The sequence below is a fragment of the Homo sapiens genome, chromosome 15 (genome assembly GCF_000001405.40).
Source record: "Homo sapiens chromosome 15, GRCh38.p14 Primary Assembly".
Lineage (NCBI taxonomy): Eukaryota > Metazoa > Chordata > Mammalia > Primates > Hominidae > Homo > Homo sapiens.
Genome location: NC_000015.10, coordinates 78,870,568 through 78,898,139, shown reverse-complemented (window position 1 = coordinate 78,898,139; position 27,572 = coordinate 78,870,568). Strand labels below are relative to the sequence as shown.

Sequence of the window (27,572 nt, the reverse complement as noted above, 5' to 3'; positions counted from 1 at the left end):
TTGCCCTTTACAACTTTTGGGTTATTTTAATACTGTGTTGTCTATTGACATTTTTGGCTCATGTTTCTAGAGTAAACCCACAAAAGTAAACAATTATAGACAGAAAAAAGCTGACCATAATTTTACACAGGTGAAAATGCCCTTAATTAATGCTCAGAGTAAGTAATAATTTAGGGAAAATAAAAAAAACAGTCATGTAAACTTCTAACTTTTTAGCTAAGACTCAAGACAGCAAACTGCCAAAGCTGCTATGGATTAGCGCTACGTACCAAAGCTAAAGCGTCTCATTCCATAAAGGCCATACCAGAAAACAAAGCACGCACCTGAAAAACCACTGTCTAAATACAAGAAGGAATACACAAATATACAATGGTTTTTGTAAGGCATCAACACAAGCACATTGTTCTTTGAAATTTAAAGAAAAAATTTATTGAAGATCTGAAAAACAATTCCTAAAAGATTGACTTTTCCAGAAAACTAGCTACACAATGCATTGCGTCTATCATGTTAAAACGTGCATTAGACACAAATACAAAAACCATGAAACAAGCCACCATTCTTCAACAATTTGAGCCAAGATAAAATGCCTAAGTAACAACATGGATGACTTGCAAAGGATGGGCTCTTTACTTTAAGCACCATAAAAAAAAACAAAAGCACAAATGGATGAGTGTGTTCAGTTATATACACTGAATTGAACCTTTGGCACTAGGAATCAGAGCATTTTGTCATATAGCATTAACATGTATTATAAAAGTGCGTAGTGTCAAAGGAATAGAACCACCAGCATTCAAAAGCAGCTTTGTCAACTAGGCAATAAAACACTCTACAGCATATCCCTCTGTTGTCCATCATTGAAAACACTGGCAGCAATTTTGAAATGAAAAAAAAAAAGAAAGAAGAAAAAAGGAGCTATTACCCCCTTTTATTTTTTCTCTGTTTAAAATCAAACAGAAAACAAACATCAATTGTTATACACTAACATCTTCAAAGCACATCGTTTGTACAAGAGATAGACTAAGAACAAAAATGTGTTTACGGAGATCCAAACATAAGTGAGTGAGAGTGCCTCTCACACAGCTTTCCGATGGTACTCAGGAGGAGCCACTTCATAATCGCTGGCACTGAACAAAGTTGCAGAATTCTTTGCCAGGTACCTAAAAATAAAATATTCATTACAAAAATTTTTAAAGGTCATTATCTTGATCCAAATCTCTTCCTATATATTATATACATAAGCCACAGAAAACACTTTCCTAAAATACATTAAACCAGACATTCTCTCACAGTAAAACCACACATAATGACAATTCAGGTAAATAAATAAGGTTATACAATGAACAACACTATACATATACAAAGGAATGAACTCTGGAGTTACTCCCCTATTTCTAAACAGCAAAGAACAGTTATGTCTGCAGAATACCAACTTGGGAGCTTGAACCATCTTTAAGAAACAGTTATTATCCTATTACATGACAGCATTACCCTAAAAGAACATCTAGACATTTTCTAAAAAAAAAATCGTTATCAGCCGGGAGTGGTGGCTCATGCCTGTAATCCCAGCACTTTGGGAGGCCAAGGCAAGCTGATCACCTGAGGTTGGGGTTCAAGACCAGCCTGACCAAAGTGGAGAAACCCGTCTCTACTAAAGACACAAAATTAGCTGGACATGGTAGCGCATGCCTGTAATCCCAGATACTCGGGAGGCTGAGGCAGGAGAATTGCTTGAACCTGGAGGCAGAGGTTGTGGTGAGCTGAGATCACGCCACTGTACTCCAGCATGGACAAGCGTGAAACTCCATCTCAAAAAAAAAAAAAAAAAAAAAAAGAAAAGAAAAGAAAAAAGAAAAAAATCCTATCAGGCCAAGCACAGTTGCTTACACCTGTAATCACAGCACTTTGGGGGGCCGAGGCACAAAAATTTGAGGCCAGGAGTTCAAGATCAGCCTGGCCAACATGGCAAAACCCCATCTCTACTAAAAATACAAACATCAGTCAGGCATGGTGGTGTGCACCTGTAATCCCAGCTACTTGGGAGGCTGAGGCCCAAGAATCGTTTGAACCCAAGAGGCGGAGGTTGTAGTGAGCTGTGATCGCATCACTGCACTCCAGCCTGGGCGACAGAGCAAGACTCCATCTCTAAATGAATAAACTTTTTTTTTTTAATTACATAAAAGGGAACGTGAAATGTCAAGTAGTAGAGCACATTCCATAAAGAAACTGAGGTCCAAAGAAGGTATTTATCATTAGTAAAGAAAAGATGATAAATCTTGCCTACATTCTCAAGTCCACGTTGCAGTTTTAAATTTACTGTAAAACGATTGTAATGAGAAAATTCATATACAGAAGTATACAAAGTAGAAACTGAAAACTCCCACCCTCCCTTCCAACACCACGCCCAAGAAATAACCCAGTATTAACTAAGATCCACATTGGAAAGCCAGATCTTATGCAAAGATTAAAATAATGTTTCTCTACAAGTAACAATTACACCATACTCCTCTACTACAGCTTGGCTGTTTTTCAATTGAAAACATGGACATCTTTATCAGTATGTTTAGAGTGACCTCACCCTTTTAATAAGTGCTTGTTTCAAATTCTTCACTATTATAAAAATGCCCTCCAAAAACTTGTAGAAACCAGGATTGCCCTTTTCTCCATTTCTTCAAACATTTAAACCTTAGCCAATCTGACAAGTGCTACTTTACTGACAGTTTATACTTTCATCATTATTTCTGACATATTTTTAATGGTCCTTTGTGCTGCCATTGATGTAAATTTCCTGTCCTACTTTTCACTGGTTTGTTCATTTCTTACCGAAGAACTCTGTGTGTATTAAAGGTACCAACCATTTATCATAAATGGAACACTATAGAACTATGAAAATATTACATTTCTCCTTTCATTATCTTAACAATTTAATTTTAAACTTCAGATTCATCTAGAATTTTGGTACATGACAAGTGTGGCTTTGTTTTCTTCCAAACTGTCAGCTGTCTTATCACCAATCTACCAGACTCCACTGCTTTCCCCTACTGCACCAATATATCATCTATATACCATCTATCATTTCTGAGACTCCCATGTGTTTGCACTTACTTTTACTGCTCCATTACCAACTATCTATGCCTGTACCAATATAATGTTTAATGTTTTAGCATCTATACTGCCAATCCCTCCCATTACACGCTAATTTTCAAATCCATGTTTATAATTTCAAGCACAGACTTACTTTAGGAAATCGTGAAGATAATTGAGTAATAAAGCAAGGCTCTTCTCATCCAGAGGTGTATAAGCCAACATTGCTCCAATTCGTACTGTTTAAACAAGAGAATTTATCCAAAGTTACATCCAAGGCAGGGGCACTACAACCATGTATTTTAATTATGTGAGCAAACACCACCAATTCCTTTAAAATACATGATTTTAGGCCGGGCATAGTGGCTCACGCCTGTAATCCCAGCACTTTGGGAGGCCGAGATAGGCGATCGCTTGAGGTCAGGTATTCAAGACCACCCTGGCGAACGTGGTGAAACCCCATCTCTACAGAAAATACAAAAATTACCACAGATGTGGTGGTGCACACCTGTGATCCCAGCTACTTGGGAGGCTGAGGCAGGAGAATTGTTGAACCCAGGAGGCGGAGGTTGCAGTGAGCAAAGATCGCACCACTGCACTCCAGCCTGGGCAACAGAGACTGTCTGTCTCAAAAAAAAAAAATTATAAAATAAAATACACGATTTTTAAAACTCTTGCTCCTAAAGAGATTTTGCTATTTAACATTCTAGATAAAAGTTCAAATTAAAATGGGAGTCATGTTTTGGAAAGTTAATTACTTTACCTCTTATTCATTTAGAGAAGACCCCCCAAAAAGTAAAATCCATTATTTTCTACATGACATATTACCAAATAATCTCAGGAGATGTGGCGCTCCATACACCTGGGACATGGGTGCATCGGGATGATCTGCAAGAATTTCAGCATACTGTGGTCTCTCAAATTTATAGAGTAGCTGGGTACCCAACATTACGTTGAAGTATTCTTTTATCCCTGCCACAACTTCATTAACCGCATACTCCCTGATAAATGAACAAAAATATTCCAAAACTGGTCAATAAAAATAACTGACATAGAGAATAATTCAACCAATTTAAAGAATTAAAAGCTGAGCTAGTAATAATGAACCATAGCTGAGATTTTTTTAAAGGGCATATGAAAGCAGGGTTTGACAAACTAAAGCAATTAAGATGATTCTTACATTTTCAGATGGTTAAATTTTAAATGGTTATGCAAATACCTACATGATAGCTTAAATTTTACCTAAAATATTTACTATCTGGCCCTTTAAGAAAAAGTCAGCCAGCCAACTCCTGTGTCAAAGCAGTGAAATTCTATTTTGCTAGTTTCTGGTGGTATTAATGTTTCGGAGTCAGTACAAGTTTCAGATGACTTATTTAGAAACTTTTTTAAATGTCTTTTGAGTGTCATCTGAAAAATGTATATTCTTACTTATTATCTGTGTTTCCACGAGATTTCTTGTAATTTGCATAATCCTCAAGAATGGAATCCACATTCTTCTTGGCAGGAAGATAAAAGAGCTATGAAGACAAAAATATGCTTAAATATAAGCACTCTCTTTTTTAAAGAAAAATCATACCAGGCAAGTTTTTATACAAAGATCAGGTAACAGTAACAGTATTTCAAATTAGGAAAGATACTATTCAGCACTTAAAACATGGATAATGTGGCTGAGAAACTACAGACAGTTCCCAACTTACAATGGTTTGGACTTAATTTTCCAACTCTCTGCTGGGTTTATTGCGATGTAACCCCATTCTAAGTTATGGAGCATCTATATATTTAAACAGCCAAATGAGACTCTACTAGACAGAACAGCACAGCTTTTAAAAATGTCAATCTGTCACACACACATAACAGACACGAATGTGCCTTTGTGGTACTACCAAGTCATCATTTACTGTTATGCATACTATTTGCTAGATCTAGTCTAAAGCATTAAAATAATTATCTTTTCGTCCTCTCATCAGCATTGTCAAATACAAACTATTATTCCATTAAATGCAAAAACAGAAGCACAAAAAGGCTAAGAAACTTGTCCAAACTCACAAATAATAAGTGATACAGCCATGCTTGAATCTTCGCAGTTTAGCTGTAACTGCATAACCCTCCAAAGGATTCAAATCAGAATTCAAACTATATCCACATACTGTATATGACTGATAGGTCTCTTAAGTCTCATAATCCTCAAGCAGTCCCTAATCATCTCCCCCAACTATCCCTAACCCTACCTATGCCATTTGTTCAAATAGCTTCATTTGTCCTATAAAATTCTCAATTATAGAGTTCAACGATTGACAAACATGTCACTCCATTAAACATCCTATTTCCTGCAAACTAACAATAGATCCAGGCGCTTAGTAAGATTCAGGTTCTTTTCAGGGTCATGAATACCTTGCAGGTGGTGGTGTGTGCTTTCTATGGCCTACCATTAGCAATGACAGTAAGACATATGCTTCTTCACCTTTATGAATTTTCAGAACGAGTTCCTGCCCTAGCAATCTCCAAAAATGAGTTATTTCCACCTTTATCATTATAACCTCATAAAATTTATATGTGAACTTTTATTCTTCTAACTTACTCTTTCTGGTAGTAGTTCTAAAGTGTTCAGCCTCTAAATTAAAATATTATTTTATCAGTCATACCTTAATAATTCAAGTCAATATAACATTTTCCTTTAAAAACTTTTTTTGCTAGCAAGAATGTATCATATAGCTTAACAATCTGGGTAGCTTTTCAAGTTACCTGTTTTTGCCTGGTAATTAAGTCCCAGTCATCAACAAGCCACGGTTTTAGCTCTTCAGGAATCTTTACTTTAACTTCAACTCTGTTCATGAATGTTTCCTCCTAAACAGAAACAGGAGGAGTATTAAAAACCTAACCTTTCTTGCTAAATACCAAACATGGAGGGGAGCTGACTTTTAGAGGCACTAGGGATAAATCTTAAAGTAGCCAAGCATACAGCTGTACTGTCATTTTTTAAAATCATTAATAAAAACGACCATACGCGGTTCGCTGTTGGGAGAAAAGAATCTGACCTGAACTATAGTCTATTTAGTGCATTTTCTTGTAAAGGTAAAAATTCTTCAGTAAGGTTCCTCTTGTTCAGGAAATGAAACACCCTGACTTGATACATTTTAACTTAGTATTTTCTTATTTACCATGGATATCAAAACTATTCCAAACACAACCATCTTAAAGGTACATCTTTAACTCCTAAAAATAAATACGTAACACCAAAGAAATAGTCTTGTAGGTGAACATGAAGCTTACACAACAAATGATCAATTGGGTAGGTAAATCTGGAGCTACAGGTGAAATAAAGATATACAGAAATTTATCCTTTACCCCCAAAAGAGAAAATTTTTAATTTCAGGTATTAACCATGTAAGCAAATCTTGTAGATAATCAAAGCTCCCATGGTTATGTCATGTAACTGAGACTAAAAATCCTAACATGCTATTCATAAACACAAGAAAAACTCACATTTTCAACAGTAGGATCTACCCGGGCCCTTTTCTTCCGAGGAGGCTGAGGGGTCTCACTGGTACTGCCACCATCTCCATTTCCAGGTGCTGTAAATGTTGGCGGGGAGGGGTCTCATTTAGCTAATTTAACAAACTCTATAAGGAAAATAGTCTCTTGACACATTAACCCTTTTCATTATTTCTCCATTACACAGCTGTTACCTCAATCTAAGTTAAAGAATCATATTCCTACCAAAAATACAACTTTCATGAAGAGCTCTACCGAACATTTAGTATAGACAACATTTAGTATCACCATCTTCCATTTATTTATAAATGTTATCTTCTCAGTGGGAGACATTAAGACTAAAGCAGATGAAAATAAATGCTCACAAGTTTCTCCTTGGCAAAAAGAGGTCTCTACCACCATGTACCTATTTTATAACACTGCTGTGAGACTCCTATTTGAGATAATCAATAAACATAAGCTTACTCCAAAATTTCATAGCTTTCAAAATAAAAACGTCAATGTCATAGAGGTAACATAAATTAACGTTAAGAAAGTTAATATTCTTACTTTTCTGTTTGTTCTTTTTCGTTTTCCTAAAAGGAGAGAAAAAAAAGAAAAATAATTATTTCCAGTAAAACTGCCTCTGTTTCAACTCCCTTTATCAGGGTTAAGTTCACAGAGAAATACTAACTTGGATAAAGGATCAGGTGGTAAATATGTGTCCTACTCAGACACAAGGATTTTTATTGATAGTTGGTTAAATTCCCATCTCTCTCCACATAATAGAAAAAAATAAACCAAGCCAGGCGCAGTGGCACATGCCTGTAATCCCAGCATTTTGGGAGGTGAAGAGGGGGTGGATCTCTAGAGCTCAAAATTCCAGACCAGCCTGGGCAACATGGCAAATCCTGTTCTCTATAAAAAATACAAAAATTAACTGGGCATACTGGCAAACGCCTATAGTCCCAGCTACTTGGGAAGCTGAGGTGAGAGGATTGCTTGAGCCCAGGAGGCCAAGGCTGCAGTGAGCCTTGATTGCACCACTGCACTCCAGTCTTGGTGACAGAGACCCTGTCTCAAAGACAAAAAAAAAAGAAAAGCAAACCAAGAACACTTTAGTAAACAACTTCGTTCTTCCAGGGTTATATTAATATATGTTATAGTATATACTACATTATTAGGCCCACCAAAAAAAAAAGGTGTCAAAGGTTAAAATTTTTTTCCAATTATTTTTGTTCCCCAAAATATTTTTAGATTTGTGTAATTTTTTTGTTTTAAGTCTCCTCATCTTGATTATCATCTCTAACAGCAACTTACCTCACGTCACTTATATACTGTCAAATGGTAAATTGCTAATTTTGCTTTATTTATTTATTTTGAGATGGAGTCTTGCTCTGTCTGTTGGGTGATCTCGGCTCACTGCAACCTCCTCCTCCCGGGTTCAAGCGATTCTCCTGCCTCAGCCTTCCAAGTAGCTGGGACCATAGGCACCCACCACCACTCCCAGCTCATTTTTGTATTTTAAGAGACGGGATTTCACCATGTTGGCCAGGCTGGTCTCAAACTCCTGACCTCAAGTGATTCGCATACCTCGGCCTTCCAAAATGCTATTACAGGCGTGTGCCACCATGCCTGGCCTAATTTTGCTTTTTTACATTATTATTTCTAGACCACAAAGGAAACAGTTTATAGAGCCCATGATTATGGATTACTTTCGATGGAAAGATACTATAACACCTGGATTTTTTACTTTTCTGTAGCTTTAAATAATACTTATAAATGTTATTAATTAAATATATTCATTTAATTTAGGTCTTAAGGTTTGACAATTCAAATTAACTTATGTTTGGATATAAACACAAAAATCTGTGTATAGGTTTTCTCTTGTCTGTTAGTTTTGTAAAAATCTGTTGGACTGTATTTCTCGGTCAAAGTCAACCATGAACTTTACTTGCACGTGTCAATATGTGGAGACCAAGAGAAACCAATAGTCTTCACACTCAATCCTTTACCCACTCACCTCTGTAATATAAAACTAAAATACTGACAGGTGATCTCAACTCTAAAGTAAAAGATCTATAAAATATAGATGAGTTCAGCATCCCAAAGCCAAAATGCTCCAAAAATCCCAATTTTCTGAGCCAACATGACATTCAAAGGAAATGCTCATTGAAGCATTTTGGATTTGGGATGTTCAACAGGTAAGTATAACGCAAACATTTCAAAATCCAAAAAAAGTCTGGAATCTGAAACGCTTCTGGTCCGAAACACTTCAGATAAGGGATATTCAACCCATACACTTCAATAAGTCCTAGTAGTAAGAGCTTGACATTCATGCTTCAAACGTCTAGACTGAGGATCCTTCAAAAGACTCAGAAGCCAGTTTGAAGAGGCTTCTACTGTTCAAGAATGGGAAATTTAAATTTTAAAGCTTTACTTCATATATTTACTCAGCCATTATTTTTGTAGTGGAGACTGCACAATGCTGTATTCAAATGCAAATAACTTATGGGCATACTACCACTTAAGATTTCTATATAATAACTTAGCACAGTGATAAAGAATTAGTTATGAACTATTACTTTTGATAAAAATCTTTTCTATATAGAGAAAATTACTGCCTTTTAAGACATAATTACTATTAAATCCTAATGAAATACTACACTACAGTTTTCCAAAGAACCAGATCATGAAAACATGTTACCACTTATTAAAACTATGAACAATCCTCAAATAGTAACACACTTAATCCTTGCCAATTATCTTCTCACCAAAAAGAGTTTAAAAAAAAATAAAAAGCTTCAAACATCTCCAAATGCATTAAATACTAAATACCTTCATTAGTAACACCTTACTTTTTTTAAGAGGCTGGAGCGCAGTGGTGCAATCACAGATCACTGCAGCCTAGAACTCCTGGCCTCAAGCAATCCCTCCCACCTCAGCCTCCCAAAGCACTGGGTGTAACACCTTACTTTTAAGTAGAAAAATCAGATCAGTAATTCTGGTAGGAAATAAAATGACCTCTTAATAAAAGTTATAATTTTTGTTTTTATTATTACAAATACTTAAGAATACTTATTAAGTTACCACTCTTGTCATCCACTTTCAGGTACATCAACTTTTTTTTTTTTCTTTTTAAAAGACAGGATCTCACTCAGTCGCCAAGACTAAAGTGCAGCCTTGACCTCCTGGGCTCAAGTGACCCTCCCACATCGGCCTCCTGAATAGGTGGGACTACAAGCATGTGCCACCACCCCCGAGCTAATTTTTTTATTTTTCTGTAGAACCAGAGGCTCCCGATGTTGCCCAAGTTGGTCTCAAACTCCTGGGCTCAAACCATTCTCCTGCCTCAGCCTCCCAAACAAAGTAGGGGGATTACAGGTGTGAGCCACCGCACCGTCCTACATAAACTTTAAACATACAAAATGTATGCATGCACATGACTTTCTCACTCTAGGCTTCTTATCAGATGTTCTAAAATCTAGAGTTAACAAGAAGTAATGGTTTTGTGCCAGGAGCAGTGGCTCACGCCTATAATCCCAGCACTCTGGGAGGCCAAGGCAGGTGGATCACCTGAGGTCAGGAGGTCAGCCTGACCAACATGGTGAAACTCCATCTCTACTAAAAATACAAAAATCAGCCAGGCGTGGTGGCACACGCCTGTAATCCCCGCTACTTGGGAGGCTGAGGCAGGAGAATCACTTGAACCCAGGAGGCAGAGGTTGCAGTGAGCACAGATCACACCACTGCACTCCAGCCTGGGCAACAAGAGGGAAACTCTGTCTCAAAAAAAAGCAATGGTTTTCTTAGGGGTGGGGATGAGGAGGGCAGTTATTTGAAACCTTAACTTCTCACATATTCTTACCATGAGTTTCACCAAAGTGGAGGTTAATTCGTATGTATTTTTAGCACTTGCCAGCACTTGCTTTTTAGGTTTGAAAAGGCTTGCCAAAAGTTATCTCAAAACTTATAACCACTAGTACTATCTTTGTAAGAGAAAACATCACACACATATATTTATACACACAAGTTAAAGGGAGGGGGAACCTGCTGAGGAAAATTAAGGAATACGTTATTTTAAACTACTTTAACGACCTGATACCTGAGGAATGGGATTCTTACTGGTTCCAACAATGTTCCAAAGTTTCCACTTCAACACAGTCTAACACACAATGAACATAAAATATTATCTTCACATATAGTATGCAAAATCAAAACAAAGAGCTTCTTACACTTCAACATTTTTCTGTTGCAGACCAGATGTCTTCTTTCCTGGGGCAGCCCCTCTCATCTTCCCCTCTGCATACTGCTCCCTTCAAAAATAATTTCAGTAATGTCAACATAAAATGAGCATTTATGTGAAAAAAAAATTGTCAGCCTGATTCCATTAGGAATTTACATTCAAATTCTGGCAACAAGTTTTTAACAAGTTGGACAGAGATATTTCCACAAAAATCAAACAAAACACTCAAGAAACAGCAAAAGGCTCAATTAAAATCAATGTAATAAAAAGTGACTGTAATAGACTGTTCTCATAGCATTGAAAATTCCATTTGTTTTGGAATTCACTAATCCCAGTGTTTTATTTGTTCCCATTACCATTTTAATTCTTTTTTTTTTTTTTTTTGAGACAGAGTTTCACTGTGCTGCCCAGGCTACACTGCAGTGGCGCGATCTCCGCTCACTGAAAGCTCTGCCTCCCGGGTTCACGCCATTCTCCTGCCTCAGCCTCCGGAGTAGCTGGGACTACAGGCGCCCGCCACCATGCCCGGCTAATTTTTTGAATTTTTAGTAGAGACGGGGTTTCACCGTGTTAGCCAGGATGGTCTTGATCTCCTGACCTCGTGATCCACCCGCCTTGGCCTCCCAAAATGCTGGGATTACAGGCGTGAGCCACTGCGCCCAGCCATCGTTTTAATTTTTTTAAAAATACATTTCAACTTTGAGATTACCCTATAAATCATAGAGTCTTTCAGGGTCCCTTTTCCCGTGCTTTCAGAGATGAAAAGCAGAATAGGAAATGCCTCGTTTGCTTGTTTCCCCACCAAATTTGTCTTCCAGAGCCCCCGAAAATAAAGATTTTTATCAGTGAGTTCATACCTATAGCAATTTCCAACAACATTCTGCTGTTTTCTACCTAGGTCTAAGATAAGCTCAAGTAATGGCAGGTATGCTACTTCCTTTACCTAGATATGGCTTGATCGCTTGAAGTCAAAGCTGTAACACAGCAGCTGAAAGGTACCAGGAATCATTTTATAGGCAGGGCAGCCAACATGATCTCCATTGTTCATTCCATGTCCAGAATTAATCTACAGGCATTTCTCCTTAATATTCAGTTCACAAAACAAACTTACTGATTGGCTTTTTGAAGTTCTCGCTGTTTCTGCAAATTGGTGTCCACGTATTTGAGTACTCTGCTCTCCGGAACCCATTCATCCCAACTGAAAAAGAGGAAAGTTAAAATTTAACTCAAAAATACTCTGTTCTCCAACTAATTTTCTGAGATCAAGAGGCAAGACTGGATTTCTCTTAAGTAATTTGATGAACTGGCACTACAAATATATTCTCAACTAAAATGAAGATCTAATGGAAGTCTGTTCTGTAAAAAGGAAAACTTTTTATTTTCAAAAAGCAGCATTCCAAATCTAAGCTGCCAGAGTCCAAAAGCAGATTATTCAAATCATTTTTAGAAATGGCTTAAGAGTTTGGCACTTAATGTAAGATTCACTAAGTGATTAGTCTTATGTTATCTTAAAGACTTTTATTGTCAAAAATAAAGCACAGGAGTCAAAAACTCAGTTATTTTTAAAAATTAAAACCAGCTGTGTGTAATGACAAAGTTCCATATAGCTTTGTGTTTTCATTTCATTCTCTATGAAATGAGGATAACAACAGTACTTATCTCAAATAACTGTTATGAGAATACATGTAAAACACCTGAGAATCCCTGACACAAAACAACACTAAAGGTATGTCAGAAACATATTAGGAAGTCTACAATACTCAAACACCAACTAGACTAACTTAAGTTTGTAAAGTATTAAAATGATTTGACACCATTCTCCACCTTCATTCAGTCACAAATGAATACACACTAATAACTTTCAAGGCTGATCAGAAAGCTGGCTTTCTAAATATTAGAAGGCAGAACCAACTCTCTCAAAAATGTTAAGACATTCTGGCACTTCAAAGAGCTTGTTCAAAACACAATTTCTGATTATGTGTTTTTTCCCCCAAAATGGCAAACAAAAACAATGTAATTTCTTAGGGAATGCTAACTTTTTTTGAGCAGTAAATCTTTTCTCCTGCTGATGGAGCTCCTTTAGTGACACAATTAGGTGTACTCTCAAGGCACCCAATTACAAAAAAAAATTTAAGACTTTCTTTTGTTTAATGATTTCCCACCTCTGACCTCTTATATAATACAGCCAAGAGGAAAATAATAAAAAGCAATCCTGAACATGATTTCCTAGAGAAAATTTCAAAACATGCATTTACCTAGAGGTCAGGAGGGGGTGGTGTACTGAGGGAGCTCCTTCAGGAACAGGAAAAAGGGCTACAATATCCTCATGTGTCTTCAAAGATTTTTCAGAGCGCCTGGGCCTCACAGCACTTCTGATACAGACAGCATAGTACAAAGTAATCTCAGTGACCAGGTGCAGAATTGAGCCTCAGCTTTATTAAGATTCATTTACAAATGGAGTATTTAAGTGTGTGTCAACAAATTCCAATGAGGTTTGAAAATTTAGAAATCTCCATCATCTATTATGTTTTTGAAAAAAGATTAACTGAAGTTTAAGAGAATTCCAATTTAGGGATTAAGGTTTTGTTGTACGAATTTTAAAAAGTACCCTGCACAAGCCATTTTCAAAATGAGATTATTTTTGAGATATTTGTGTGTGTGTGTGTGTGTGTGTGTGTATTTTTTTTTTTTTTTTTTTTGAGACAGAGTTGCGCTCTCGTTGCCCTGGCTGGAGTGCAATGGCGTGATCTTGGCTCACCACAACCTCTGCCTCCTGGGTTCTAGCGATTCTCCTGCCTCAGCCTCCTGAGTAATTGGGATTACAGGCATGCGCCACCACGCCCAGCTAATTTTGTATTTTTAGTACAGACAGGGTTTCTCCATGTTGGTCAGGCTTGTCTCGAACTCCTAGCCTCAGGTGATCCGCCCACCCTCGGCTTCCCAAAATGCTGGGACTACAGGTGCGCGCCACTACACCCAGCTAATTTTTAGTAGAGACAGAGTTTCACCACCATGGCCAGGCTGGTTTTGAACTCCTGACCTCGTGATCCACCTGCCTAGGCCTCCCAAAGTGCTGGGATTACAGGCATGAGCCATCGCGCCTGGCAAGAATTTCAGCTTTTTGTTTTTTTTTTTGAGATGGAGTCTTGCTCTGTCGCCCAGGCTGGAGTGCAGTGGCACGATCTCGGCTCACTGCAACCTCTGCCTCCCAGGTTCAAGCAGTTCTCCTGCCTCAGCCTACAAACTAGCTGGGATTACAGGCATGAACCACCACACCTGGCTAATTTTTGTATTTTTACTAGAGACGGGATTTCATCATGTTGGCCAGGCTGGTCTAGAACTCCTGACCTTGTGATCTGCCCGCCTCGGCCTCCCAAAGTGCTGGGATTACAGGTGTGAGCCACCGCGCCTGGCCCAGAATTTCATAGTTTTCTAACGGTAATGTGACTAATTCCCAGAGTCACAATGATCCATGGGCAGTACTTACATAGACTAAATACACAACACACTAGGTATCTGAATAACTCCTCCCCCTTTCAAAATGAATTTAAAGGTTTCTTTAAAGACTTTCTAAAGCTAAGATCATTCTTTCAACATTGCATATATTTATCTACATGCCAAGTCAACCAAAGACATTTCTGATATATTAATATTCCTCAATACATCTACAAAGATAGTAACAAATCTCTAATATTTGATGCTATTTTTTCTTAACTTTCCCCAACAGTAATTAATATGTGTCAAATTAGTTGAGAACAAAAAAATCTACACAAACCTATCATTTCTTTGAGTTACTGGACTACAATACACCAAAGAGGAAAATGCCCATTATTTTTCGAAACAATAAAATCTGAAAATACAAGCATTTGGTATTTTCACAACTTGTGACAAGCTACAAATGCCACTTAAAATCCAGTCTTTGCGCTGTACACATCTATGTGTGCAATTTTATACAGGGTTATCTATTATATGTGAAAAAGAACTAAGCACAAAAGCTGTATTCACAGTTACTAAGGTGAAATTCTAAAATAATTTTTTAAGGTTTTTAAAAATATCTTCTTTATTCTATTCCCTTGTCGTAGTTTCCCTTAGTTTTTTATGTGTTCAATCGCTTTTTTTTTTTTTTTCCTGAGTCTCACTCTGTCGCCTAGGCTAGAATACAGTGGTGCAATCTCAGCTCACTGCAACCTTCGCCTCCTGGGTTCAAGCGATTCTCCTGCCTCAGCCTCCCCAGCAGCTGGGACTACAGTCGTGTGCCACCACACCTGGCTAATTTTTTTATTTTTAGTAGAGATGGGGTTTCACCATGTTGGCCAGGCTGGACTTGAACTCCTGACCTCAAATGATCCAACCGTTTTGGCCTCCCAAAGTGTTGAGATTACAGGCATGAGCCACTACACCCAGCCTCAAACACTTTTTTAAAATTTTTATTTGCTTAATTATAAGAGGGGTGTCTACCTATGTTGCCCAGGCTGGCCTCAAACTCCTGGGCTCAACCTCAGCCTCCCTAAGAAGCTAAAACTATAGGCACCACCATACTGGCTCTAAAACAATTCCTTTAAAATGCAGGAGATGGAGGAGATTAAGCCTAAACCATAAATTTGCTTTGTGTTTTTTTTTGATATCCTATATGGTCTTTCCCACTCATAGTATGCATAAAATTAAGATGTTATCTTTCCTGTAGAGAAATGAAATTCTCCTAACACTCTCAACTTTATCTGGATATTGTCAGAATATCAACACACAAAATATAAGTCTAATAAAGATTGAAATGCAGTTTTAGCAAGGCATTGTTTAGTAATAAAAAGCTATGAGATACACTAGGAGTCACTATTTTCCTGTTTCCTAGATATTAGAATCCATTTAGTACTAAAAGCACAGTTTACTTCTACCAAGACAGTTTTCTCCATTATTTTCCCAACTTCTCAATATTTAAAATACAAGTCCATGAGGTTGGAGTTACCTATCATTATTAAATATTACCTATCATTATTAGAAATACATGTTGTTGTTTCTTTTTAAAGGAGTCCAGATCTTGCTCTGTCACTCAGGCTAGAGTGCAGTGGCACATCATAGCTCACTGCAGCCCCAAACTCCTGGGCTCAAGTAATCCTCCTGCCTCAGCCTTCCAAGTAGCTACAGGTGCACACCACCACACCTCACTGATTAGAAATACTTTAATTATCATTAACTGGGAAAAAAATACCCACAAGTTGTCAGGATGCACTTCTATGCATTTCAGATTTCTACCTTTCCACATTTATATTAATGGAAGTAAAAGGTCTGATAAATTCTCAGCTGAAAACATCTGATACGTGAAAACAACTTCCTAACAAAGAAATAAAATTAACTGGGTTGGTCACCTGGATAGAGTACTAGATGAAACAAGACCAAAGTCACAGGGCCAGTGAACTTCACAGGAAAAATAAACTCCTTCCATAGTAACAGAATACTCATCAAATCAGATGGCACTGATCCCATAGTAAACCAGGTAAAAGAGCCTGAGTCAGGTGACACAAAGCCTTAAGTTACTAGAGGACAATTCCACAAGAACAATACTAAATAGCAATGGCAGTGCTATCTTTGAAGGACAAGGCATCATTAATAAAATGTAAAACCTCCCATAGTAAAAATTACAAGTCTTTTCATTACAATCACCAAATAGGAGACTTGGGTAAATTTTTAGACAGGGTTATTTGTGAGGCCCAAGGAGAAAAGTCCCATCACTGAAAAACAGCTCCACTGGATGGACATTCTAGAATGTGTTCAATCTATACCCACTGTCCATTCCTAGAACAAGATCAATAACATCGGTACTTTACATACACACACACACACACAAAAAGGCCGGGCAGTGGCTCACACCTGTAATCCCAGCACTTTGGGAGGCCGAGGCGGGTGGATCACCTGAGGTCAAGAGTTCAAGACAGCCTGGCCAATGTGGTGAAACTCCGTCTCTACTAAAAATACAAAAAATTAGCTGGGCATGGTGACAGGTGCCTGTAATCCCAGCTACTCAGGAGGCTGAGGCAGGAGAATCACCTGAACCCCTGAGGCGGAGGTTGCAGTGAGCCGAGCTCACACCATTGCACACTCCAGCCTGGGCAACGAAAGCAAAACTCCATCTCTCAAAAAAAAAAAAAAAAAAAGGCTTAACTCTTAGGGGTGAGAAATTAAGACTCTATAATTGAATGTTTCTGTGTTAAACCATGCTAAAAAGTGAGTCACATGAAGTCATTTTCGGTCAACACTAAATAATGTTTCCAAAGTTCAGAATATGGACTGGTAAATTCTGTCTTTATTTCCCAATCAAGCAACCTTTATCCTTTCCCCTTTTCTAGACAGAAAACCCAACTAGTTTTTTTTAGCACAGCTGCTTGAAATAACATATATAATCAACATGTTTGTGGTAAGGCCAAATAATTCAGGCCATCCTAAAAATGTACCAAAACCAGGAAAAAAAAAAAAACAGAAAAATGTGATTGCCACATTCAACCAGAATAATTGATTGACTATATGACTAATAGATATTACACTAGAACATAACAAATATTCCCAAGATCCAAGTATATTTAAATTAAAATGGCTCAGTACCCTAATTTCTAATAGTTTTGTCATACTACAAATGATTCACCTTTGCTTCAATATGTACTATATTACATTAAAACTGCAGAATTGAAAAGCATATGCTTGCTAAGCCAGTCAGTGACACAAGCTATCTTGTTAATTACAAATAGAATTGTAAGATCTAATACTCACTTTTTATTCCAACCACTGTAATGTATGAAGTATTTCACTTGTTTGTCCTTTATGGCAACCTTTACACACTGAAATTCAAAAAAAAAATAATAATTCACTTAGAAATTTTTTAAAGACACTACCTTTTCAAATCATCCTTCAAAGACACTCTACACAAGCTTTATGGTGGCCTAAACAGAATGACTAAGAACACTAAGCTTGTAGAATACTCAAGTTACAAAACTGAAGATTAGTCACAAAAGGTCCAACAAAGCTGAGAACCACAAGCATAAAAGGTCACCTTAAATCTTTAATCAATGGATTACAAAAGCTATCCAAGGACAGCTAATGAAAGCTATGCTTGTGTCTTCTCAGTCTAATCAGCCAGGAGCTATATTTATTTCAAAAGCAAATTCCTCTAAAGCAAAGTCTTTAAACTATATTATAAAAAAACTTCATTAGCTTATGAAAGGCAGTAAATGGACCTGTTTCTGAAAAGTTAGTTTAAACAACTTGTAAAGCAATGAATTAAAAATATTTCACTTTTCTTAAAAGCAGCCAGACAAAAGGAATTACTAGAGGCAAGTCATTAACTATGACAAGTGATGACTATCTGGTTTTGGATTTAAAAGTCTTTAAGAGAAAACCAAAATAACCACAACAGTTTAATTTGTTTCAATAGCTTCAATTCGAAAATTGTTCACCAGAGTGTCAGGTGCCAGGAGAAAAATCAGCCAGTTTAGTAGAGTTTGCCAAACGTTGATACAACAATAACAACATTCAGGGATAAAAACGATTAACAGGACATAATTTTTTTTTTTTTTTTTGGTAGAGACAGTCTTGCTATCTTGCCCAGACTGATCTCAAACTCCTGACCTCAAGTGATCCTCCTGCTTTGGCTCCCCAAAGCCCTGGGATTACAGGCTTGTACGTCACAGCCCCTGGCCATGAGTCGTAATTTAGCACTTACAAACATTATATCATTAAGATGTATGTACGTATACATATACTTAGAAATTCCTGACCATCTCCATACATCCAAATTCAGTCATTTTAGGATTTCTTTTTTAAGAGACAGTCTCCCAAGGGGCAATGGCTCACACCTCTAATCCCAACACTTTGGGAGGCCGAGGCAGGTGGATCACGAGGTCAGGAGTTCAAGACCAGCCTGGTCAACATGGTGAAACCCCGTCTCTACTAAAACTACAAAAATTAGCCAGGTGTGGTGGCTGGTGCCTGTAATCCCAGCTACTCGGGAGGCTGAGGCAGGAGAATTGCTTCAACCCGGGAGGGGGACGTCACAGTGAGCCAAGATCGCACCACTGCACTCCAGCCTGGGCGACAGAGCAATACTGTCTTGGGGGGCGGGGCGGGGCGGGGAGCATAAAAATAAAGAGAGAGAGAGTCTCGCTTGGTTGCCCAAACTGGCCTTGAACTCCTGGGCTCAAGCAATCCTCTAGCCTCAGCCTTCTGAGTAGCTGAAACTACATGCATGTGCCACCGCGTTTGGCTCTTTAGAACTTTAAAAATACACTTCTGTGTATTTAGAACACAGGAAAAAAAAAAGTAGTGAAAATGGCTAATATTTAGTCAGAAATGTCTGACACTTTAAGGCTATTTTCAGACACATATAGCATAAAACTACTCACCAAGAATTTATGCAGAAATTACATAAATTAAACATTATACTGTTTTGTATTTTACGGGCTCATTTTTGGAGCTACGACTGTTTAAGGTATAGTCAAGTCTTAAATATTTGTACTAAAAAAGTTATCAGAAACAAAATACTGAAACTTTTTTTTACTTTGGAATGCATTCTCCTGCTTACCTTCAGCTAAATGTAAAATCAGTTTTTATAACTTGAGCACACCCTGATACAAAGGGGGCCTCCCAGAATACAAACTTTGCCAGACAAATCAACAATCAACAGTTAAATGTACTTATTTTTAATATTGGCTTTTACCTTTAACCTAATATAATTAGCTCAATGCTTACTCAGCATATATTACTTTTAAAAGTAACTTCAGCAATGTTTTCTCACCAAGTCATTAACCACAAAATGCTCTTTGTTCCCACAGCCCATCTTCCCCTTCTAACATTCCCCTCAAATGCTACTTCCAGATGAGTAAGAAAAGTGGAAGAGAGTAGCAATGTTTTAATTCATTTGAGCCACTAAGCAAAACAATAAGAATCTCAGAAAGATGAAGAAATTTATTAACTACGAACCTAAAAAAGGCAACTCTCTTACTGAGGCAACAACAAAATACTGTACTTGTATATTAAATGGCCAGATCTAACCAGTAGTTTTGGCCAACTTCTCAAAAGAAAACAAGTTTCATACCTTTGCTTCATAAAGAAGAGGCCCATGAAAGCACAGCACTCGCTCACCTGTAAAGGGAGAAAAAGTACTGAATTGTAATTTCTTCTCATATATAAAAAGATTAACATCTTAGAGAGTCATCACACTTTTATTAAGGTATTCCTAGCCAAATTAGGAAAAATGAGGACGGGTATACAGAGCACCACTTTGGCTCAAACTTCAACTATACCCTACGACAAAAACACGTTGGTATCCGATGGTAAAAACAAAAACAATTCATTAGCAGGTCAATCTACTTAAATAATCAAATCATCTATCACCTGTTAAGCACATAAGCGGACTCTCCTGCAAAGCTGTCGAGGTTGGTTGGTTGGTTGGTTTTAACTATATATCTGAAAATACAGTTTTTTAAATGCTTTCCTCATCTGTTTTTCTAAGTTGAGGACCTTTACTCTCCACTTGTATCTCTGCTTCCAACCCTTTTACTCAGTGAAATATCGTACAAATTAAAATATCAATATGCATCAGAGATTGGCTGGATTAAGGGGTCTCACTATGTTCATTCTTCAAATGTGGAATGATGTTCTAGGTGCTAAGTTGCTTCAATGAACAAAGAAATGAGACAATAAAGCCTAACCTTTGGAACGTAACAGTCTACGTTGAGCCTACTTCAAGACTAAAGAAAATGTCAGGACCTGGAAGTCTTGGAAGCAATTCTAGGCAGTACCTCAGATTACATTTGAGTGTAGCTTGAAAGATTTTGCACACATTATTTTCAGTCCACTTGGTTTCAAAAGACCCATGGACAACTGAAATATCCAAGAATGTCAGCTCTTTTTTAGCTCTAAAATTAAAAGAGCAGGCGGGGCGAGGTGGCTCACGCCTGTAATCCCATCACTTAGGGAGGCCGAGGTGGCTGGATCACCTGAGGTCAGGAGTTTGAGACCAGCCTGGCCAACAGGCGAAACCCTGTCTCTTCTAAAAATACAAAAATCAGCCAGGCATGGTGGTGTGTGCCTGTAATCCCAGCTATTCGGGAGGCTGAGGCACGAGAATCGCTTGAACCCGGGAGGTGGAGGTTGCAGTGAGCTAAGATCTTGTCACCGCACTCCAGCCTGGGTGAGAAGGAGCCGCCCTCTCAAAAAAAAAAAAAAAAAAAAAAAAAAATCAGCCGGGCGTGGTGATGTGCACCTTCAGTCCCAGCTACCAGCTACTCGGGAGGCTGAGACATGAGAATCGCTTGAACCCAGGAGCTGGAGGTCGCAGTGAGCAGAGATCACACCACTGCACTCCAGCCCGGATGGGAGAGCAAGACTCCGCCTCAAAAAAAAACCACTAAAATTTAAAATATTTTTTAAAACTATGTATTTTCAAGCCCCACCAAAGACCCATATTATTAGACTCTCCCAGAGCACGACCTATTAACTTTATTTTTAAATCAGTTCTATAATTCTTTTAAGTGGTCACTCTATAAAGAATCACTGCTAGAGGCTGCTGGACCTACGAATAGCATTTCTGAATTAAAGACGGAGACTGGAAAACGGGAAGATCAAAGACTTCTCCAACGGCCCAGGAACGAGAACTAAAATGGGTAAACTATACTGCTAATAAACAGCGAACAAGATCAGATCAGATCTGTGTTTCCTAATTTCACTCTCCTGGTACATTTTAAAGGCACTCTGAAAATGGCCTACCATTTTTCTCCCCTTGGCTGCTACTGCCGGAAAAAAAAGTGCACTGAAACCGAGGCCCTGTGACCTCCATTCTAGCTACGAGGCCCTAGTATTTTGTTGAAAAAATATACAGCTAGCTGAGGAGTATGACCCAGGACAGCAAATGCTCCGTCTCAAAATCTAAACAAAACAAAACAAAAAAGAATTTCCAATGGAAAACCAAGTCCAGTGCAAAGCAATCACTATGCCTTAAGAATTGCTTATACAACATATATTGCACGCCATTATCAAATAAAAAAAAACTTTTTTATAAGTTTACGAGTTGTTTTTTTTTTAACAAGTTTACAAGAATCATTAAAAACCCTATTTCTCGGCCGGGCGCGGTGGCTCGCACCTGTAATCCCAGAACTTTGCGACGGCGAAGTAGGCGGATCACGAGGTCAGGAGATCGAGACCATCCTGGCCAACATGGTGAAACCCCGTCTCTACTAAAAATACAAAAATTAGCTGGGCGTGGTGGCGCGTGCCTATAATCCCAGCTACTCAGGAGGCTGAGGCAGGTGAATCGCTTGAACCCAGGAGGCGGAGGCTGCAGTGACCCGAGATCGCGCCACTGGACTCCAGCCTGGGCGACAGAGCAAGACTGTCTCAAAAAGAAAAAAACAAAACAAAACAAAAAAACACTACTTCTCGCCACTCTTTTCTCTACCATTACATAAACTCTACAGTGTTTCAAGACGATTCTGTTAGCACTCATCAAATATTCTTTTTCCCTTGCAAGATATTCTCCGATCATCTAATTAATAAATTTTTTTTTTTTTTGAAATGGAGTCTCACTCTGTGGCCCAGGCTGGAGTGCGATGGCAGGATCTCGGCCTACTGCAACCTCCGACTCCCGGGTTCAAGCGATTTCCTGTCTCAGCCGCCCGAGTAGCCGGGATTACAGGAGCCTAACACCACGCCCTGCTAATTTTTGTATTTTTAGTAGAGACTGGGTTTCACCAGGCTCACCAGGCTGACCAGGCTGGTCTCGAACCGCTGACCTCAGGTGATCCACCGCCCCCACCCACCTCGGCCTCCCAAAGTGCTGGGATTAGAGGCGTGAGCCACCGTGCCCCACCCACTAAAATCATTTTTAAAACGTGGTTACACAATTCCATTTTAAACACAAGTACAAAACACACCTGGAAAGTAATGTTAAATACAGACTCTCTTACACAGCTTTCAAACCCTTACCTGGGGATACCTTGGTTCCTACTCTTCTCCAATTACCCCACTTAAAACGGCACAAGGAAATCTCTGCTGCTACTCCTCTCTTAACTAGCAACCCTCTAGAACTAAAGCGCTTCTTCCAGAACAGCCATCCTTAGGTTGTTCCCACAGCAGCGATTAACTTTTTGTGCCTTGACAGTCTGATAAACCCTACGAGCCTAATAGTTTCATAAATACATAAAACACACACTAGTACAAAGGAAACCAACTGTACTGAAACAAAACACTTTAAATGTCACGTTCTATGACATTACAGGACAAACAAGACTTGGCTGCTAATACAATAACTACCCTAATTTTGAAGAAATAAGAATGCGATAACTGAAAACATCTTCCATAACTGTAATGTTGAGATATGAAAATATACTGAAAATGCTAATGTGGTGGTTTTTTTCGGGGTTTAGGGGGAGCAATTACACTGTTAATTGAAATACTAAACTTGGGAGATAGAAAAAAAAATCTTCCTCAATTTCACGCACCGTCTCAATTAATGCACTGACTCTAGATTAAGAATATCTGCTCTAAAATGTCTAGTAAAATAATGAACCCATAGGAGGTAGAGTCAACAGCTTCTCAAGGTGAGAGAGGGGTATTAAAAGTCACACGGCCGAGAGCGATGCCTCACGCCCGTTAACCCCCCACAACTTTGGGAGGCCGAGGCGGGTGGATCGCTCAAGCCCAGGAGTTCGAGACCAGCCTGGGCAACATGAAACCCCGTCTCTACCAAAAATACAAAAAAAAAAAAAAAAAAAGAAAGAAAAAGAAAAGAAAAAACAAAAACCCTAAAAAACAAAACAGAACAAAACAAAACTTAGCCGGACGTGATGGCGCGCGTCTGTGATCCCAGCTACTTGGGAGGCTCGCTTTAGCCCGGGTGGGGGGCAGAGGTGAGCCGAGATAGCGTCACTGCACTACAGCCTGGGTGACAAACATCGTCTCAAAAATACAAACAAAAAAAGTCACTCATTAACAAAATACCCCTAAAACCTCCTTAAATATTCCATAAACTTAAAATACGCAGTACTACGGTTTGAGGTTTACGGCTCTAAAAGGAATTCTAATGCAAGTCTAAAAACCCCTAGAACAAAAATCGTACGCATGTAGACATCGTATTTACGGTAACTAGCATAAATTTCCATAGCAATGAAAAGGAATGTTAAAGTGTTCCTCCTTTCTCAACAGGACTTTACTTCCTTTTTAGCTATTAGACCTCCACCTTATTATACGTTAACTGAAGCGTTGTGAAAATTTAAAGAGCTGCCTTCCACTGGGAGTCAGTCTAACCTTACCCAAAACTCATGTCAATCGAAAACCAATTAATAAAAAGAAATTCAACTTTCAAGTCATTGTTAAACACTGCAACTAATCAAACAATTACTGCATTTAAAAAATGACGTCGAGGCAATGGGACTTACAAATGCAAACGGCGTCAACACTGCATTCAGATCATTTTTATTTACTTTTTACGAGCAACTGCAAAGCGAGAGCTCACTCACATTACCATAGGATCTCGGCACTGCGCCCAAGAATAGCAGAGTGATGCCTCCAGGCAACACAAAGCGGAGGAAAACGCTCATCTCACTTTTTTTTTTCTGTCCCCACCCACCACTCTGTGGTATGCGGAGGGCCCCGGCAACCTTCTGGTCGTCGTGGAAGGGGGCGCTGCATCTGCCCGTAAGCTGTGCCTCCATACGGGACCGAGACGCCGGCGGCCATGATGGCGCCGCCATCTTGCAACGGCCATTTTACAACGCACTTCTCCCGCCCCGTGGCGCCAAACCCACCCCCATCCGCAGCTGAGTTGCCACCGAACGCAACCACCCCGGGGCTCCAGGAAGCACCGAAAAACCCGTCGTAGCTGCCCAAGCGGCCGGGCGCGCCGCAGGACCGCCCGAAACAGCCACCGCCCCTCCCCCCCCGCCGCCACATCACTTCCCCTAACCGCCGCCATGGCGCTCCCGTCGCCTCCCTACAATAGGCTGCTCTCTCCGCGCCCTCTTCCTCAGAACAATAACAAACACTTGACGAGGGTGTGCCACGCGCCAAACGCTCTCTCTCCCACTCTAACGCCTGCGCAGCACTCTCGCTTCACAAAGCGCTTTCTCACAATGACGCACCGGAATTGCCATCCGCAATGCGCTTTCCCCGCACAAAGCACTGACCGCCGCCTTCTCAGGGCGCAGCCCGCGCCGCCCCCGGCCCTCAAGCCTCAATCACCTCGAGCCCGCCTCTATCTCCTGCGCCGTTAGGTGCCTTTTTCCCAAAGGCGCACACTCACCCTCCTGGAATTTAGGCTTCGGGTCCTGCTTCGGCGCCATTTATAAGTGATTCGCCGCCTCCTCCTTCTCCCACCACCCCCGACTACCGCCCCCTACTCTCTACCCCACCCAACTCCGCGTCAGACGCGCCGTCAGGCACTGCCAGCTCTACATCCTGGGCCGGATTTGCCAGCGCCCGCAGACCTCACAGCACCGCGACCCGCGCAGCCGCTGCTCCAGCCAACGACAGCCCGCCGCGCACGCGCCCCTGCGCCCGCGCCGCCCCAGGGCACGCCGGGACTGGTAGTTCGGAGTCGGTGGAGGCGCCCCCCCCCCCCCCCCGGGTGGGGGAGGGGCCGGCTACCCTACCCCACCCCACCCCCGCTTCTCTCTCCATGCCCCCGGCTGCTGCGGGTTGGTAAAGCGGGGATTTGATTTCGTGGGAGGTTAAGGCGGAGCTGGCGATGGGGGAGAGTGGGGGTGGTGAGCCACCAGTGATAATAGAATGGGAAAGGCCCAGTTGCGACGTCCCTTGGGCAAATAAGCCCCCGTTGATGTTGAAGTAGTCGGAGAGAATAGGGCTGGCTCGGAAACCTACATTCAATAGCATTCCGCTAGTTTTTGCATAGAAAGGCTTTAGGATCAGCAAGAGGGTGGGAACTGGGGTCCGCTTCTGGAAGCTTCGTTGTTTAGCAACCCCACTGCGGAGCCTATTTGGTGGGATTGATAGCCATTTGTTGGCTCCTAGGTCTACCTCCTCTTCTCCAGCCCAGCCTTGCGGAAATGAGGATGATGACGTGGGAAACACTAGTCACGCTTTAGCTTTTTGAGATAATGGAGCTCTGCTTTCTGAAAAAGGCTAGTGTGAATATGTCAACGTCTGTATTCCGTACCTGCCCTGTTTGTGCTTCTTGTCACTCTAAACAAACGGATTTCTTCAATATTATACCTTTTTTTTTTTTTCTGAGATGGAGTGTCGCTCCGTTGCCCAGACTGGAGTGCAGTGGCGCGATCTCTGCTTACTGCAGCCTTCGCCTCCCAGGTTCAATCGATTCTCCTGCCTCAGCCTCCGGAGTAGCTGGGATTACAGGCATGTGCCACCACGCCCAGCTAATTTTTGTATTTTTAGTAGATACTGGGTTTCACCATGTTGGCCAGGCTGGTCTGGAACTCCTGACCTCGTGATCCGCCCGGTTTGGCCTTCCAAAGTTCTGGGATTACAGGCGTGAGCCACCGTGCCTGGCCTAAACAAACGGATTTATGTCGTTCCCTGTTCAAAAACAACTTTGTTGGCTAAGCTGCAAAATAGCACCATTTCCGTCAGTTTATTGTGAGAATTACATATACGGGCTTAGCGCGGTACCCAACAATGAATAAGTGCTCAATGAACTTTAGACGATAAATCTCAAAGTCCTTAGCCTGGTATTTAAATCCTTCCACAAACAGCCCTTAGCCTACCTGCATCCCCTATGTAAACCTTTATCCTCCTACGCAAACCTTTGTCTCCATGACTTTTCTTTTTTTTTTTTTTCTTTCTGAGACGGAGTTTCCCTCTTATTAACCAGGCTGTAGTGCAAAGGCGCGATCTCAGCTCACTGCAACCTCTGCCTCCCAGGTTCAAGCGATTCTCCTGCCTCAGCCTCCCGAGTAGCTGGGATTACAGGCATGTGACACCACACCGGGCTAATTTTTGTGTTTTTGTAGAGATGGGGTTTCTTCATGTTAGTCAGGCTGGTCTTGAACTCCCGACCTTAGGTGACCCGCTGGCCTCGGCCTCCCAGAGTGCTGGGATTACAGGCGTGAGCCACTGCGCCCAGCCTGTCTCCATGGCTTTTCTAAGCCCTCCCCTGCCCGGGTTCCACACCCCACCAATTCCGGGCCCCTCTCCATTTATCTGACTTCCATTTCTCCTTCAGTCTTTTTAACACAACCCCTTCTCTGACAACAGAAACCCACAAAAACCTTCCTTATTCCAGTTGAATATACACCATCTTGTCACGACTACTTCTCGCAAGCTTGTCCAACCTGTCTTATTTTGTTGTTGTTTTGTTTTGTTTTGTTTAGGCTTTTAGCACCCTGAAGCCATGGTTTTTAGTTTCAGTCTCTAGTGATAAGTGGAAAAGGGGGATGAGGAAGGGGCTTTACTGGCCCAACCAGAAACAGAAACTAAGAACCCATGACTGTATTCACTCCCTTGGACACCATTGCTAAATTGTAAAAAGGGACAAGGGCTTCTTTGGACCCCACCCCACCAAAACTGTCCTGTACACTTTTAAATTTTTTATTGAATATAAAATACGTACTTTTTTTAAATTATTTTTTTGAGACAGTCTCGCTCCGTAGCCAGGCTGGAGTGCAGTGGCACAGTCTCAGCTCACTGCAACCTCTGCCTCTTGGGTTCAAGCGATTCCCCTGCCTCAGCCTCCTGAGTTGCTGGGACTCGGTGTGCCATCACGCCCAGCTACTTTTTTGTATCTTAGTGGAGATGGGGTTTCACCATGTTGGCCAGG

The 27,572-nt window shown here is 40.3% G+C and overlaps 1 protein-coding gene across 5 annotated transcripts, besides 6 other annotated features; it reads right to left on the bottom strand.

Annotated features, from left to right (window-relative positions):
* Positions 1-25,250, bottom strand: MORF4L1 (mortality factor 4 like 1). Of its 5 annotated transcripts, NM_206839.3 has the most exons (13): positions 25,083-25,250; positions 19,881-19,927; positions 17,561-17,628; positions 13,057-13,173; positions 11,913-11,999; positions 10,791-10,871; positions 7,126-7,151; positions 6,568-6,656; positions 5,827-5,928; positions 4,513-4,601; positions 3,910-4,082; positions 3,236-3,320; positions 1-1,157 (listed from the first exon to the last, which is right to left on the bottom strand). In NM_206839.3, exons 1-13 carry the CDS (start codon positions 25,120-25,122, stop codon positions 1,073-1,075), a joined length of 1,089 nt encoding a protein of 362 aa, NP_996670.1. In that variant the 5' UTR covers positions 25,123-25,250; the 3' UTR covers positions 1-1,072. The 5 variants fall into 5 exon arrangements, with proteins under 5 accessions (NP_996670.1, NP_001252533.1, NP_001252534.1 ...); NM_001265604.2 differs by lacking the exon at positions 13,057-13,173 and having other exon boundaries at positions 24,922-25,250; NM_001265605.2 differs by lacking the exon at positions 13,057-13,173 and having other exon boundaries at positions 25,022-25,250.
* Positions 21,572-22,173: an enhancer, noted in NCBI's record as "H3K4me1 hESC enhancer chr15:79168309-79168910 (GRCh37/hg19 assembly coordinates)". NCBI's record gives its function as "activates a minimal SCP1, AML or CMV promoter by ChIP-STARR-seq in primed H9 embryonic stem cells {active_cell/tissue: H9 hESC(primed)}" and the evidence as "EXISTENCE:reporter gene assay evidence [ECO:0000049][PMID:30033119]".
* Positions 23,638-23,747: a silencer, noted in NCBI's record as "silent region_6719". NCBI's record gives its function as "represses an Ori minimal core promoter by ATAC-STARR-seq in GM12878 lymphoblastoid cells {active_cell/tissue: GM12878}" and the evidence as "EXISTENCE:reporter gene assay evidence [ECO:0000049][PMID:35858748]".
* Positions 24,032-24,663: an enhancer, noted in NCBI's record as "NANOG-H3K27ac-H3K4me1 hESC enhancer chr15:79165819-79166450 (GRCh37/hg19 assembly coordinates)". NCBI's record gives its function as "activates a minimal SCP1, AML or CMV promoter by ChIP-STARR-seq in primed H9 embryonic stem cells {active_cell/tissue: H9 hESC(primed)}" and the evidence as "EXISTENCE:reporter gene assay evidence [ECO:0000049][PMID:30033119]".
* Positions 24,399-24,638: an enhancer, noted in NCBI's record as "active region_9922". NCBI's record gives its function as "activates an Ori minimal core promoter by ATAC-STARR-seq in GM12878 lymphoblastoid cells {active_cell/tissue: GM12878}" and the evidence as "EXISTENCE:reporter gene assay evidence [ECO:0000049][PMID:35858748]".
* Positions 24,749-24,808: a silencer, noted in NCBI's record as "silent region_6718". NCBI's record gives its function as "represses an Ori minimal core promoter by ATAC-STARR-seq in GM12878 lymphoblastoid cells {active_cell/tissue: GM12878}" and the evidence as "EXISTENCE:reporter gene assay evidence [ECO:0000049][PMID:35858748]".
* Positions 25,219-25,478: a silencer, noted in NCBI's record as "silent region_6717". NCBI's record gives its function as "represses an Ori minimal core promoter by ATAC-STARR-seq in GM12878 lymphoblastoid cells {active_cell/tissue: GM12878}" and the evidence as "EXISTENCE:reporter gene assay evidence [ECO:0000049][PMID:35858748]".